Source organism: Homo sapiens, chromosome 7 (assembly GCF_000001405.40).
Source record: "Homo sapiens chromosome 7, GRCh38.p14 Primary Assembly".
Taxonomy (NCBI): domain Eukaryota; kingdom Metazoa; phylum Chordata; class Mammalia; order Primates; family Hominidae; genus Homo; species Homo sapiens.
In genome coordinates, this window is record NC_000007.14 from 116,184,784 (window position 1) to 116,201,264 (window position 16,481).

Genomic DNA, 16,481 nt, shown 5'->3' on the forward strand with positions numbered 1-16,481 from the left:
TATAAGCCACCAAACTTGCACTGATCTGTTATAGCAGCAATAGAAAACTAATATATCTACATAAGTTATTTATTTATCAAGGATTAAGTGTATGAGCATGTGTGTGTATGTGTGTTGTACATCATTCATATTCCAAACCAGGTATTTGGCTTCTATTGAACTATAAATAAAATCCATGCCCTGTCAACATCTAAATAGTTATACTATGGAATTATCTTTTTCTAATTTTTATGTCACAGAATGGGAGTTTTCTGGTTTTTCAAGCACTCTGTGTTGTCTATCAAACTTATGGCTTTACTGTATGAAAACAGCAACATAGAGTATCCGAGAAAGTACTGATTTCTGGAAAGTATTATCACTCTCAGATAAGAATGTTGCTTATATGGAAATTTTTCAGCATTGTCTAGACAGCTTTGGAATCTTTATAAATGTCAGATTACACCTTTCTGTCCCGTACTTTTTCCTAGTAGAAAAATGATGGGCTTTTTCACATAGCCAAAGCAATCCTAAGCAAAAAGAACAAAGGTGGAGGCATCACACTACTCAACTTCAAACTTTAAGGCCACTGTAACCAAACCATGGTATTGTCATGGGATCCTTGGGGTGTCTCTTCACCAGCCAGAAACCTCTGTGGCCAGTGGTGCCTTCTACCTGAGTATTGCTCACACCTGCTGGGCTCATTCTGCCCACTCAGCCTGGCTAGCTGCACTTGGCTCACACTACCAGCCCAGATTTCACACCTGCCAAGGGTGAGCCAGGCATGGACCAGTGAAGGGTGTGTGAGTGAGTGCAGGGTCCAGCCACTGCACACAGCCAGGCACGCTGGCAGCTCCAGGTGCCGGCACAGGTGCTAGCTCCACGCAAAGCTATGGCTGGACCAGATGCACTGCACGCAGCTTCTGCTGTGGGCACCCACAACTGGATGAGGGAAACGCAGTGGCACCTGAAAATTTGGAGATGCCAGGAACCACAGAGCCCAAAAGAGGGTGTCACAGCCCTGGCTCAGGGAGCCCCTAAGTCTGGGCTCCCCGAAGGTCTGCAGCTCTTCTGTCCTCATCACCCACAACATGGTGAGCATGGGGGTGTGTTTCAGCCCTGTTTGTGTTACAGCTCTTTCAGTTCCGCCATTCAGTGGGTCCAGAATTCCCGTCCTGCGTCCAGAAAGAATGAGGTACATAGACAACTGGAGGGTGAGCAAGGCAGAGAGGAGCTTCATTGAGCAACAGAACAGCTCTCAGGGGACCTGAAATAGGTAGCTCCTTTCCACAGGCAGGTCATCCTGATGTGTGTCCAGCTCTCAGCAGAGAAGAGATCCACAGTGGGCAGCTCCTTTTCGCAGGCAGGTCGTCGGAACATGTGGTGACTCGTAGTGTGTAACTCCTTTCCACAGCTGGTAATCCTGATGTCTGTGTGAGTCTGGCTGGGTTTTTTGTGGTCTCAGAAGGGAGGAAATGTATGCTGATTGGTCCATGGGCAGCCATGGACGGGCCTGCAAAAAGCACCATAAGTTCTCACTCCAGGCTGTGGACTCCACCTGAAACTGACAGTCCAGCCCCCGGTTTTCAGGCCATCCATGGCTTGAAGGTGGGGCTTCACTAGGGACCTGCCCCTTTCTGCCCAGGAGCCTGTCTGCCTCCTGCCACCATCAACATGTCATCCATGGCACCCAGGCAGTTCCTACTGAAGAGCACCTGAAGGCCTGTGCTGAGCTGCCCTCAGCCCCTATTGGCCTCCCTCCCATGCTCGTTGGCACCCAAAGTCCAGAGGAGGCCCAGGCAGCAGGGGGCTGGCCTGTCAGTGCCACCCCAAGTGCATGCACACCTGGCTGGGTTGCAACAACACCCAGGCTCAGCCACAACTGTGCTGCACCCTGGAGTGGGTGCTGGGAGTTGGGAGAGAATAGGCAATGGGAGCAGGCACTTGCCAGCCTGTGGGAGCAAGGAGCTTTCTGGGCCCCCAAGAGCACAGGGATGCCCAGCTGGGTGGCTGCAGCTGTAGGAGCATGGGGCTCCTGCCCAGCTGACTCAGTAGAGGCCAGGGCTGCCACCTGTTCTGGCCCCCACTGGCTCCATGCAGCATGCAGCCCCACTGTGCCTCCGCCACTGCAGCCAGTGTCTTCCCAGTGGTCACTCCATGGTTAGTATCCTATTTAAAGCTGTTGTTATCATCTTGCTAATACTATGTAAGTTTGTTACATCTTTGCAGAAATGTAGCCATTTCTAGATAATAAATTTCCAACAATATTTTTATTTACAATTTCTTCCTAAACTGTAGCCTCACTGCTTGCTATTATTCTTCTTGCCCCCTCTCTTTACTTTCTCCAAGTAGCCTATGCTTATATCAGTAAAAATATTGGAGTAAACATCTTTAAAAATTACCTCCTTGGTAAAAGCAATAAGAATATTGGCAAAAATTATCAAAACCAACTTTTTTAGAACTCTGAAAATTAACCAAATGCTTGAGGCACTAAAGGGATAATTTATTTAAGAAAAACTTTAATTTTGTTATGAACAGCAAGATTTGTGGCATTTTAACTTGTCCTATTCTCAGCCTTCTCCCAGCTCCACAGTAGCCTTAAAAATCAACAGCTCATAATTACAGTGAAAATCTGCAGTGTGTCGACTCTTGAAAAAGTAAATGGAGATGGACCTCTTCAAAGACATGATGCAAAAAGTTGTTATTATTTGACCTCTCTGGTGGTTCTCTGGAAGACTCACTCACAAGGCTGTCTTTGTTTGATCTTACCCAGCCTAATCACTGGAAACAGCCTTTCCCCTAGGACATTTGTTGAAAACAATCAGAGACAATTGCTGAACATGCTGGTTGTCCACAGTGATAGAAAACAGTTGGGGCAAATGATAGGCTAACCTGTAAACTTAAAAGGAGAAGCTTGGAAATTAGATATCCATAGTTGGCTTTGAAAAGCTCTGCCATGTCACTGGGAATGTAGAAGGCCACATATATGCATAGTGCTATGTGTCTGCCCAGGGCCAACCTGAGAAGGCCCTAAGATTTACTACTGGCTAACATGAGGCTCTGTGCAAGTAGGTAATGAAAGCTATTGCAGAGTTGGTAAGTGCCTGACTGAGTGGTGAAGGCATGCCCCACCACACACAGAATTCCTCAACAAAGACTGGGAGACTTATTGGTTTCAAGAATTTAAGGAAGTATTTGTCCAATCACTAGCTGACCCCTAAGATAACCAAGCAGAGTCTTCAGTGTTCACACATAATAAAGAGTACAGTATTTACAGAATTAGTTCAGAAAAGTCACTAAACAAACAATGAAAACAAACAGCAACAACAAAATGTTTTGGGGGAGGGAGATATCTGATTTTCAGATTGGTCACATTATATTATTTAAAATCTAGTTTTCAACCAAAAATTATGAGACATATAAAGCAATAAGGGGGAATAGCCCATCCACAGGGGAGAAAAAGCAGTTTATAAAAATTGCCTTAAGGAAGTTCAGATGTTCAGCTTACTGGGGAATCTCTTTAAATAATATATTTTAAATATGTAAAAGAACTAAGGAATACTATGTTTTAAGAAGTAAAAGAAAACATGGAGACAGTGTCTCACCAAATAGAAAATATCAATAAGGATATAGAAATGATTAAAAAAAAACAGAAAGAGACAAAGAGAGACTTGGAGTTGACAAGTACAATGACTAAAATACAAAATTTACTAGAGGGGTTGAAGAGCAGACTTGAGGAGGTAGAAGAGTCAGGTAATTTGAATGTAAAAAAATTGAAATTACCCAGTCTGAAAAACAGAAAGAAAAAAGAATGAAGAGGCCAGGCGTGGTGGCTACACCTGTAATCCCAGCACTTTGGGAGGCCAAGGCAGGTGGATCATCAGGTCAGGAGTTCGAGACCAGCCTGACTAACATGGTGAAACCCCGTCTCTACTAAAAATACAAAAAAATTAGCCAGGCATGGTGGCATGCACCTGTAATCCCAGCTAATCCCAGCTACTCAGGAGGCTGAAGCAGGAGAATCACTTGAATCTGGGAGGCAGAGGTTGCAGTGAGCCAGGAGTGCACCACTGTACTCCAGCCTGGGCAACAGAGCCAGACTCCATCTCAAAAAAAAAAAGAATGAAGAAATATAAATAGAGCTGCAGTGACCTCTAGGATAACATCATGCATGAAGCATACACATAATATCCCAGGAGAGGAGAGAAAAAAATGGGGCAGAAAGAATATTTGAAGAAGGAATGAATAAAAACTATCCAAACTTTAAGAAAAACATAAATTTACACTTTCATAGAGACTAATGAACTCCAAGTAGGATAATCTCAAAGAAAGCCACACCTAAACAGATTATAATTAACCCATTGTAAGCTAGAAAGACAGAGAGACTCTTGAAAGCAACAAAATAGGAAAGCAATTCATCATACACAGGCATCCTCAACAAGATAGAGCTGATTTCTCATTGGAAACTGTAGAAGCCAGGAGGCAGTGTGATGATATACTTAACGTGCTGAGAGAAAAACTATTAGTGAAGAACTGTATATCTTGTAAAACTGTCTTTCAAAAATGAAGGAGTAATTCAAATATTCCAAAATAAAGAAAAACTAGGATAACTTGCTGCTAGCAGACCTAGCCTAAAATAAATACTAAAGGAAGTCCTTCAGGCTCAAATGGAAGGACATATATAGTAATTTGAATCCACATGAAGAAATAAAGAGGACTAGTAAGGAAAACACACAAATATAAAAGCTGGTATAAATTTTTTTAATGTAACTTTTTTCTTCTGTCTGATATAAAGCAATAATTGCTACCTTTGTTGATAGATACAAAATACACAAACATATAATTTGTAAGATAATAGTACCAAGGAAAAGAGAGGAAATTGAGCTCTATAGAAGCAAAGTTTTTATTAATATATCCTGTTGTAATTCAGTTGGTATTAATCCAAGCTAGACTGTCCTAAATTAAGATGTTAATTATAATCCCTGGGCTAAGAAAGTAGTTAAAAACCATATAGTAAAAGAAATAACAATGGAATTTAAAATGGTACACTTGTAAATGTCTATTTAATACAAAAGAAGGCAGCAATGGAGGAATAGAACAACAAAAAAGGTCTAAGGCATATAAAAACATCAAAAAATGGAAGACATAAAGCCCACCTTATCAGTAATTATATTAAATACAAATGGATTTAACACTCCAAATAAAAGGTAGAGATTGGCAGAATGCGTTTTTAAAATAACATGATCCAACTATATGCTGGCTACAAGAGACACTTTAGATTAAAAAATGTAAGTAGATTGGAGGTAAAAGGATGCCAAAATACACTATACCAACCGTCACCAAAAGAGACTTGGAGTGGCTAGACTAATATCAGACAAAAGATACTTTAAGATATAAGATAAAACTTTTTACTAGGGACAAAAAGGACATTTTACAATGTTAAAAGGATTGATTTATCGAGAAGATATAACAATTAAAACATATTCACCTAACAACAGAGCCCAAGAATACACAAAATTTAAAATGACACAATTGAAGGGAGAAACAGACAATTCACTGGTAATTGTTGGATGTTTCAGTCTTCTGTTTTCAATATTGGATATAACTAGACAGAAGATTCACAAGGAAATGGAAAACTTGAACATTATGAACCAACCAGATGTAGCAGACATCTATAGCACACTCACCCCAACAACAAAATACACGTTATTTTCAAGTGTGCATGGAACATTCTCTAGCATAGACCATACATTAAGCCATACAACAGTCTCAATAAATGTAAAAGGATTGAAATCACACAAAATGTGTTCTCCAACTACAATGAAATGAAATTAGAAACTGATAATACAGGGAAAATTGAAAAATTAAAATATGTGGAAATTTTACAACACATCCCTAAGTAATCAAGGGTTCCACCTGGTACGCATGGGATTGGTCAGTGCTAGTCATGTCGATGATTATCAGTGATGAGCCTGAAGGCTAGAGCCAGTGTTAGGCAGGGCCTAGGAAATGCTGCTGTGTTCAATTTTCAAATATTTCTTAGATCTGTTTTTGTAAACAAACAAACAAACCTTTAATGGTGTCCCAAATAAGGTCTCAATCCCATTATAATCCAACCTCTGAATCTATTGGTCCATTACTCATTACTACCTAACTCAACTGCCCAGCCGGGCGGATCCCTCAAAGTCTCATAATGCAGAATGTGCCTTCCCATCCTCTGTGCCTTGGCTATGCTTTTCTTTTTTTTATTATTTTTTATTTTTTCATTTTGAGTGCCTGCTCTCATTTATCTCTGTTATCAAAACAATATGATATCATATGCATGTAATGTTTTATAAACTATAAAATAATATATAAATATGAACTATATTTACTGGAATCCACACCCTGCAAGAACTAGTTTTTGTCCCCCTCCTTCCAGGAAAACTTACTAAACCCCTATAGCCTTCAGTGATTGACTTTTTCTTTTCTATGTTTTCTGCCTGCTTATCTTCCTTCAACCATTCTGAATTTTGTGTTAATCATTTCTTGTTTTTGTCACAGTATTTATTATAAACTGTTTTATTTTGCCTGTTTTTTAACTTCACATAAAAGCAGTCATAACATATTCATGCTTCTGTACTTTTTTCTTTCTTCTTTTCACCAGGGGTCTGTTAGTTAATTTCAGTAGGTATTATACACATGCTGCAAAAAAATCAAAACAATACAAAACAATACACAATAGACTAAAAATCCCTGCTTCCTCCCCTATTGCTGCCACTCTATGGACCCCTCCATCTTCTCCCCATAGATAATCACTCATTAATTTATTTTGAATCTTTCCAATATGAGCAAATACAATTATATTTTTATGTTTCTAGATTTTTGATTTTTAAAAATAAACATCTTGGCTGGGCGCGGTGGCTTACGCTTGTAATCCCAGCACTTTGAGAGGCCGAGGTGGGCAGATTATGAAGTCAGGAGTTTGAGACCAGCCTGGCCAACACAATGAAACCCCGTCTCTACTAAAAATGCAAAAATTAGCTGTGTGTGGTGGCGAGCACCTGTAATTCCAGCTACTCAGGAGGCTGAGGCAGGAGAATCACTTGAACCCAGGAAACAGAGGTTGCAGTAAGCCGAGATCACGCCATTGCACTCCAGCCTGGGCGACACAGCGAACTCTGTCTCAAAAAAAAAAAAAACAAACATCTTATCACATATAGATCTTTCCACATCCTTAACACAAAGCATTTTCTCATTCTTTTTTATAACTACATAATATTCCATAATGTACATCTACTATGGTTTCTATACCAGTCCTCTATTAATGGACATGACTATTCTCTAACATTTTACTAATACAATGTGCAGATCATAACATATGTCATCTCTTATGTGTGCATGTATTTCTGTAGGATAAATCCCTGTGAGTGGGACTCCTGGGTCAAAGGTGAGATACATTTGTAATGTGATAGATATTGCCAAATTATACTTCATAAAGAATATACTATTTGTACTCATACCAATGATATATGGGTGCCTCTTTCCCTTCAGCATCACTAAACTTAATTTTTGCTAATTTAATAACTGAAAAAATGCATCTGATTGTGGTTTAATTTAAATTCTCTTATTATGAAAGAAGTTGGGTATTTTTTTCTTATGTTTATAATAATTTATTTGACTTTTCTGTGAACTGGTTTTTCTGTCCTTTGCACATTTTTCTCTTAGATTATTGATACTTTAAAAAATAAATTCCCAGCATATTAATTCTGAATATTATTTTCCCCTCTGGTTTGCCATTTGTCTTCTGACAAATGGCAGATGGTTTTGTCACAAAAAAGATTGTTTAATGTAATCAGTTTTGTCAGTTTTAAAACAGCTTCTGCATTTTGAATCAAAGTTAGAAAGGACTCTCCTAACATAATTTTATAAAGAAGTTCTCTTCTGTTCTCTTTTCTGGTACTTAATAATTTCATTTAAACCTTTGAGTTTATATTGCTTTATGGTATAATAAATACATCTGTGTCTTTTCTAAGTGGAGTTGCCTGATTGCCCCAAACCAATATTGTATATAAGGTTCAATGTCAATGCATATAACTGTAGTTAATTCATTTTAAATGTTGAATTCCAAAGTGCGAATATAAATAATGTCTTTATCTTCTCCACTGATAATGAGCATTTCGATTGCTTCCAGTGTTTTGCTATTATGAATAGATCTGCTGTAAACATACTTATACATGTCTTATTTTTTAAGTCTACAGCACTTACTGTCTATCACTTATACCTCACATTAATTGAATAACTGAATTGCTATTTAACTGTTTCCTACCATTTACTCATTCTTTTTTTTACTAGAATTTAATGAAAGGTCATCTTACATCTTTGGACTATGTGCCATATTGACTAGGAGAGGAATAAGCTCTCAGTGGGAAATGAATTGAATTGAGGTGAATTAACTTGAATAGAATTAGTAGCCTGCTGTGGGCAGAGAAATGTAATATAAAATTAACTATTTCCTAATAATTCACCAAAACCAGAAAAAATGGGATGAAGTAAATTGTGCACATATTTTGACCATATTATTTTTTAAGATTACAGAGAGATTAAATCTTAACCAGTACCAAAGAAACCAATTAATTAATTCATCTGCCTTTGATACCTATAATTTCTCATGTGCATAGGAACACTGATGCAGTTTCTGTGATCTATCAAAAGCAGATGAAATATGGTGGAAAATTTGTTGCACAATTTACTTTTCACCGATCCAAAAAGAACATGTTGCCCTTATTTGGCATATTTTTCACATCGTTATTTTGACTAATCTATTTGTTCAAATGATAGGCGTCTTGAAGTTACTACATCCTCTTACGGTAGAAGCAAATGTTATGTCTTTCAGAATGCATTCCAGGCTAGGTTTTTATCCAGGGATTAAAAGCCTGAGTTTTAAGTGAACAAAATCTACATGTCTTTCAGAACTATAATTGATTTTCCTCCTTACCCGGCTATCACAGCAAGTGCTATACTAAAATAGTCACCAATAGACTTGTGCTATCCCTTTTTAGGGATGATTCAACTTATGAAAAATAAATGAGTAGCTTTTGTTCACACTGAGGCTTACCAGAGACTCATATTTATATTACAGTTAAGAGGCAATCTGACAATGACAACATTTCCATTAACCATAACACACTGAGCTCTCAGGAAATGGTATACCCAAGGGAAAGCAGTTTTAAAAATGAGATCTTGTGTAAATGTTTGGAGTAAGAAAATGTATTAAATGATAATTTAATAGAAGAATTTTTTATTATTAAGTAAAATTACTTAGTAGTAATAACCCATTAAGACAACATATTGTGTTGTAATTTATACAGAATTTGTTTAAATTTGCATGGTGCTTTGATCACAGAACATTTCCCCTGCTATTTTGATTACTGTGTAACACTTTGAAAAGCCCTTACTGCTTATTCCTAAAAGGTATCATTCTAATCATTCTACCTAGGGAGCGTGCTGCCATAGAGAATCATTCCACAAATACCACTCGGTACTCACTGTGTTTGCCCACAAGGAATTATTTGTTTTAAAAATGATGTGAAATTCTCCATTCTGAGACACATAGGAATTCCTAGCCAATTACCTCAATAAACTCCAATGCTATGATGCCTCACATTTCTATTTTACAATCCCATCTTTTATTCACATTTTCTGGGTTTGCTGAGGAAAAGAGTAGGCATATGTCTAACATTATTGTTAATACTTAACATTCACTCATGAGAAAAACAATCTATATCTTTCCTTTCTGCTTTTTACATCATTTCTAAATTTATTCAACAATTTAAAAGGGATTATTCTCCGCTTTGGATTTCTGCTTAAAATAAATCTTACTGTAATTTGGTGGAATAGTATGGAGTTTTTTTCAATCAAAAAAAATATTTCTAGAGTAGAAAATGAGTATTTTGTACCAGTATTTGCCTTAAGATTATAAAGGGCAGCAGCGGATAATGATACCTCATGACTCTTTAGTTTAATGAGAAGAGAAAACTCAGTTGATCACAGATCATTCCCAGGGTTTTTCAAAACTCAATTTGTAAAGACGAGGCCTCTTTTGTCTGGTTATGGAAGATGTGACCTGGAACTCTCTGTAGCTATGTTCCCCATGACATGGAAAAACTCTTCTAAGAGAATGAATCTGGAGTGCTGCAAGAAACAGAGAAAGAGAGTATTCTAATGGTGTTCAAATCTCTTTTTAGTGATCCTTAAAGGTAGTTCCAACCACCCTTCTCTCACTGTTACATAAAGCCAATAAAACCCCAACTGGCTTAAACTAGTTCGAATTATGTGCCTGTCATATGCAACTAGATAACAGCAAGACATTTAGGCATTATACCTAAAAGTGGGGTTTTACAAAGTAAAGACCATAAAATGTAGTTCTGTTTGAGGTGGGAGACCATGAGGAGATAGCAATCCTTTGAAAATGATATCAAGGGAGTTGGTTAAATCTGTTTCCAGTTTTCTGTTAGGACATAGGCCATATACACAAAAGCTGTTACTTAAGAGGATTTCATAGCAAATGTCAGGGTATTGGAGGGTGTTGGCGAATTCTTGCCACCTTCAATAAATTACAGGAAAGAAACAAGCTAGGATCTTTTTTCTGATTTATCAGACAGAATAAAAAGTCCATTAGTATGGATCAGCAATTTTTTAAGAGAAACTCTGGCTGTGGCCAGAAATACAAGTTAGCAAAAGTCAAAAAATCATGGGTCCTACTGAGGTACAAAAACTGAACATGTTGTCCTATATCAACCAGAGTGTATTAGCTTGGAGTAGTGTTTTTCAGGAGTCAGAGTAATGGGGGAGGTTTAATCTCCCATGATTCATCAAGTTACAGTCATGCATCTCTTAACAACAGGGATATTTTGAGAAATGTATTGTTAGGTGATTTCATCTTTGTGTGAACATCATAGAGTGTACTTACACAAACCCAAATGAGATAGCCACTGCACGCCTAGGCAATATGGCAGAGCCTATTGTTCCTAGGCTACTAACCAGTACAGCATGTTACTGTAATGAATACTGTAGGCAATTGTGACATGATGGTATTTGTGTATCTAAACATATCTCAACATAGAAAAGGTACAGTAAAATATATATATAAAAGATTTAAAATGGTATGTCTGTGTAGGGCACTTACTATGAATGGAGCTTGCAGGACTGGAAGTTGCTCTGGGTGAGTGAGTGAGTGAGTGAGTAGTGAATGAAGATGAGGGCCTAGGACAATACTGCACACCACTGTAGACTTTATAAACACTGTACACTTAGGCTACAATAAATTTAAAGTAGCTTTATTTCTTCAATAATAAATTAGCCTTGGCTTACTGTGACTTTTTTACTTCATACATTTTTTAAACTTTTAAAGATACTTTTTAACTCTTTCGTAATAGCACTTAGCTTAAAACGCAAATACATTGTGCAGCTGTACAAAAATATTTTCTTTCTTATATCTTGATTCTATAAGCTTTTTGGATTTCTTCTTTTTTTTTTTACTTTTTGACCCTTTTTAATTAAAATCTAAGATGCAAACACACACATTAGCCTAGGCATTCACAGGGTCAATTTCATCAATATCACCATCTTCCTTCTCCACATCTTGTCCCACTGGAAGGTTTTCAGAGGCAATAACATGCATGGAGTTCTATCTCCTGTGATAGCAATGCCTTCCTCTGGAATACCTCCTGAAGCACCTGCCTGAGGTTGTTTTACAGTTAACTTTTTCCATAAGTAGGAGTACACACCAAAATAATAAATTGTTAGTATTATAAATACCTAAACCAGTAACATAGTTATTATCATTGTCAAGTATTATATACTGTGCATAATTATATTGCTATAATTTTATATAACTGGCCACACAATGGGTGTGTTTTGGCAGCATAACTACAAACACATGAATTATGTGTTGTACTATAACATTCTAATGGCTACAGTGTCACCTGGCTGTACGAATTTTTAGTTCCATTACAGTCTTACGGGACCACCACCTTATGTGCGGTCATTGACTGAAACATCATCATTTGGTGCATGAATGTGTCTTCTATGCACTTCCTGCCTAAATCCTCTAAAACTCTGATTTCAAAGCACAGAAACCTGGAATCAATCCCCATACAAGATAAAACTTTCTATTATCTCTGACTATCTAAGACAGTGACCTCAATTTAAACAGGCCTTTAAATTGAGGATAGAAGAAATAGACGGAGACTTAAACCTGTTGCTGAGAGATTTAAAACTAGGGTTACAGGCTAGATACAAATATTTTACTCGGTAAGTGTAGCAGATTGTGTCTTCTAAAGTTAGACACAAAAATATTTTCCATACCATATTCTTACTATGTAATACGGATACTCTAACTATTGCATAATATGGTCTATGTCCCCTGAATCCTGAATGGACCTTTATGACTGCCTCAACCAAGAGAGTTTAGTGAAAGCAATACCACAGGACTTATGAGGCTAGTTCAGAAAAATGCCATATACTTCCAGCCTGCTCTCCTGGAATATGCAGTCCTGGAACCCAGCTATCAGACTGTGAGCAACTGGCCCATATAGAAAAAACACATGCTGAGGCCATGTAGAGAGACTCTCACTGATAGTCCTAGTCAACAGCCAGTATCAACCAGATATATAAAGACAACTCTAGATGATTCTGGCCCCCAGCTAGATGACTGAGTCATCACCAGCCTTCAACACTTCCAGCTGAAGCCCCATACACCATGGAAAAAGGCGGTCTTACTGTGCTCTGTTCTAATTCCTGGCCCATACAATTTCTAAGCCTACTAAAATGGCTGTGTTACGCCACTAACATTGGAATGGTTTGTCACAAAGCAATAAATACTACAACAGCTTTTGGGTACTAGTAGTGGAGTGCTGCCAAAAAGAAAATCTGAAGCATGTGGCATTGGTTATAGGCAGAAGAGAGCAGAAACTCAAAGTGCCTTGCGATACTATTTGAAAGTTTATCAAGCTTGTCCAACCCACAGCCCGTGGGCCACATGCAGCCCAGGACAGCTTTGAATGCAGCCCAACACAAATTTGTAAACTTTCTTAAAACATTATGACTTTTTTTTTGCTTTTTTTTTTTAAGTTTTGGCTCTTCAACTATCATTAGTGTTAGTGTGTTTTATGTGTGGCCCAAGACGATTCTTCTTCTTCCTAAGTGGCCCAGGGAAGCCAAAAGATTGGTCACCCCTGCCTCTTAAATTGTTTCTAAGCGACAGTTAGCTAAAGCTAAAAGGCCTGAAGGAGGCTGTCAATGAGGGTTTAACAGAAAGGTATGGTGAATGTTACTAGGAACTGGAGGAAGGGAAGCAATTGCTATGTACTGGCAGAAAGTTTGCCAAGATTGTTTTCTGCGATAACGTAGAAAATAGAAAATGTACCTAAAATTTGATGATTGCAGAATATTAAAAGGGCACCTATGATAAAATGTGAGAGGAGAGAAGAACTAAAGAATGCAATATTAGACAAAAAAGACTGTCAATTCCTGGGTTCTAAAGTAAACCTGTGTCTCATACCCAGGATTTCCATATGGAAAATAATTTTTTTAAATTAAGAAATGACTTCTGGGCAAAGATCAAGTCCAGGATGGTGATTAAGAGTCTTTGTGAAGACTTCAGAAACACATAACATAGTGACTGATATATAACCTTTCAGAGAGACAGAAGGCCCCCTAGGTATCTTAGAGTGCACCACATAGATATTACACATTAAAAAGAAAAGATTTATAAGAATAATAAATGTGTTATCCAATGAAAGTTTCACAGTTTGAGCTCAAGATAGGGAAAGAATAATCTCAAAGATATTTGTAGGTGTAGCTTTGACCTAATAGAATGTATTATATGTTGATACATAAGAAACTCACAAGATTTCTTTAAGTAATTGTAACAGCACAGACTCAACAGACAGAGTCAGTACAGCTCCATCGAACAGGCAGTTCCTTTGAATTCCCAAGTTTGCAAGCTGGAAGCTGGTTAAAAGAATGACTTAGGTGCAAACATGGAGTATTTTTGGTGGAAAAAGAAGATGATTGACTTGGAAACCGGAATGAATAGCCCAGAAGGTGAAAGCAAGATCCATGAAAAACAATCTTTAAAGAGCAAGAATAAGCCCTAGTCAAGAAAGTGACAACACATCCCTGGCTGGATTTCGGAACTGCTGTGGAACAGTGACTGTTACGTGCTTCCTGTTTTACCAGTATCTGAAGGGATTTTGTATAGCAGATATTCTAGGACTATCTCAATATATGCTGAGCGTGTGTGAAGAACAGATAACTTGTCCCTTTAGTTCAGAGCTTTTCAGATCAAGAGGAATAGTACTCAAGCAGCTATACTAATTAACCACACCTGAGGAGCATCGTCCACACCTAGACTTGATTCAGATGACAAGTACCAGACTAAGCTGTGGAGACTTGAAGATCTTAAAGGATGAAATCATTCTATTAGGCAGATGGAAAGAATGTGAGCTTTCATGTCCACAGGGCAAATGGCAAAACATTATATTTTCTGAAGATTGCAAGTATACCTCCCATTCCACATACTCTTCTTAAATAACAAATACTACATGACTTTGAAAGCCAGTTCATAAAAATTTCATGGACTCCACTTTACTCTTTTGGAACATTTTCTTTTGAAACCCAGTCACCGTTCATAAAGACACCAAAGCAACTCATAGAAGCCTAGCTGGAGAGGAACTGATGCCCCAGGTGACAGCCAGCACTAACTTGCCAATGAATTGTCCCATTTGGGCTATCTCAGCTGATGTTGTATTCAGCAGAGAAAAGATATCCTTACCTTTCCTGCCCAAACTGCAGATTTTTGAGCAAAATTAATGATTAGGGTTTTTTTTTTAATCAACTAACTTTTGAGGTATTTTTTTTTAACACAACAACAGATGATCCATTTCTGGTATCATGTATAGCAGTGGTTCTCAACTGAGGATGGGTTTGCTCTCCAGAAGACATTTGGCAATGTCTGGAGGTATTTTTGGTTGTCATAACTGGAGTGGGATGCTAGTGGCCTTTAGTGAGTCGAGGCCCAGAATGCTATTATACATTCTGCAATACACAGGAGAGCTCCCTACAACAAAGATTATCTGATCCAAATTATCATTAGTATCATGGCTGAGGAATACTTATTTAAAGGTTCCCTTGAAATAAAAATGACAGTCAAATGTTAAGTAAATCCCAAGCCTGGCAAAAGTAGCCTATATCTCGTTGTATTATGGCATCCCCCAAATCCCAAATACCCAAAGGACAGGACAGGATAGGACAGTTGTTGGGATAGGACTACTCTCCAGAACAAAAATTTCAAACAATGCCTCTCTGGAAGGTCATCACAGGGGACAATGGATAAGGAAGGGCATCTCGGTAGTAAGAATTCAGTGCATACACAATGGAAGACCAAGAACCTAACTCCACCCTTAGGAAAGTTAGCTCTTATGTTCTCAGTTCTGCATGATATAATATTTGCTATGAAACAGTTTGGAACAGAACAGATTGCTTTTGTTTTTTACCAAGAAGTTTTACTGTTGCTACCTTGCTTTCGTTTCCCCAAACAGAAGTGGGTTAAATAATGTTTATTTGTAGTGGGTTAAATAATGTTCCCCCAAAATTCATATATGCCCAGAACTTCAGAATGCGACTTTATTTGCAAATAGGATCTTTGCAGATATAATTAGTTAAGAGGTCATATTGAACTAGGGTGAGCCCTAAATCCAATGACTAGCATTTTTATAAGAGAAAGGAGAGGGAGATTCAGACACAGACAAACATAAAGAGAAGATGGTCATGTGAAGAACAAGGCAAAATTGGAGTATTGCAGCTACCCTAGTTGAGAACCACTGCTTTGCATGATGCCAGAAATGGATTGTCTGTTGTTGTATAACAAAATACCTCAAAACTTAGTAGATTTAAACAACCCAAACTATTAATTTTGCTCGTAAATCTGCAGTTTAGGCAGGAAAGACAGCAAGGATACCTTGCCTCTGCTGCATACATCAGCTGAAATGGCCCAGCTGGGGCACTTCCTTGGCAAGTTGGTGCGGGCTGTCAGCTGGGGCATCAGTTCCTCTCTAGCTAGGCTTCTAGACTGGGTTTCAAAAGAAAATGTCCAAGCAGGAAAGTGGGTGACTGGGTTTCAAAAGAAAATGTCCAATCAGGAAAGGCAAGCCAAGGAATGCCAAGGATTGCCAGCAAACACTAGAAGCTAGGAAGAGGCAAAGAGAATTCTTTCCTAGAACCCTCAGAGGGAGCATGGCCCTTCTGATACCTTGATTTCAGACTTCCAGCTTCCTGAGCCATGAGATAATAAATTTCTGTTATTTTAAGCCATCCAGTTTGTAGTAATTTGTTATGGCAGCCCTTGTAACTTGATACACCCACTTTACATTGTTTAAGTTGGCTGTTGGTTATGTTTATCATTTAGCTCATTTGAACAGAATCATGATAAACCACGTATAGACCTGATTGAGACTAATTTG

At 38.1% G+C, this 16,481-nt stretch overlaps 2 annotated features.

Annotated features, from left to right (window-relative positions):
- Positions 366–1,357: an enhancer, noted in NCBI's record as "H3K4me1 hESC enhancer chr7:115825203-115826194 (GRCh37/hg19 assembly coordinates)". NCBI's record gives its function as "activates a minimal SCP1, AML or CMV promoter by ChIP-STARR-seq in naive H9 embryonic stem cells {active_cell/tissue: H9 hESC(naive)}" and the evidence as "EXISTENCE:reporter gene assay evidence [ECO:0000049][PMID:30033119]".
- Positions 1,358–2,347: an enhancer, noted in NCBI's record as "H3K4me1 hESC enhancer chr7:115826195-115827184 (GRCh37/hg19 assembly coordinates)". NCBI's record gives its function as "activates a minimal SCP1, AML or CMV promoter by ChIP-STARR-seq in naive H9 embryonic stem cells {active_cell/tissue: H9 hESC(naive)}" and the evidence as "EXISTENCE:reporter gene assay evidence [ECO:0000049][PMID:30033119]".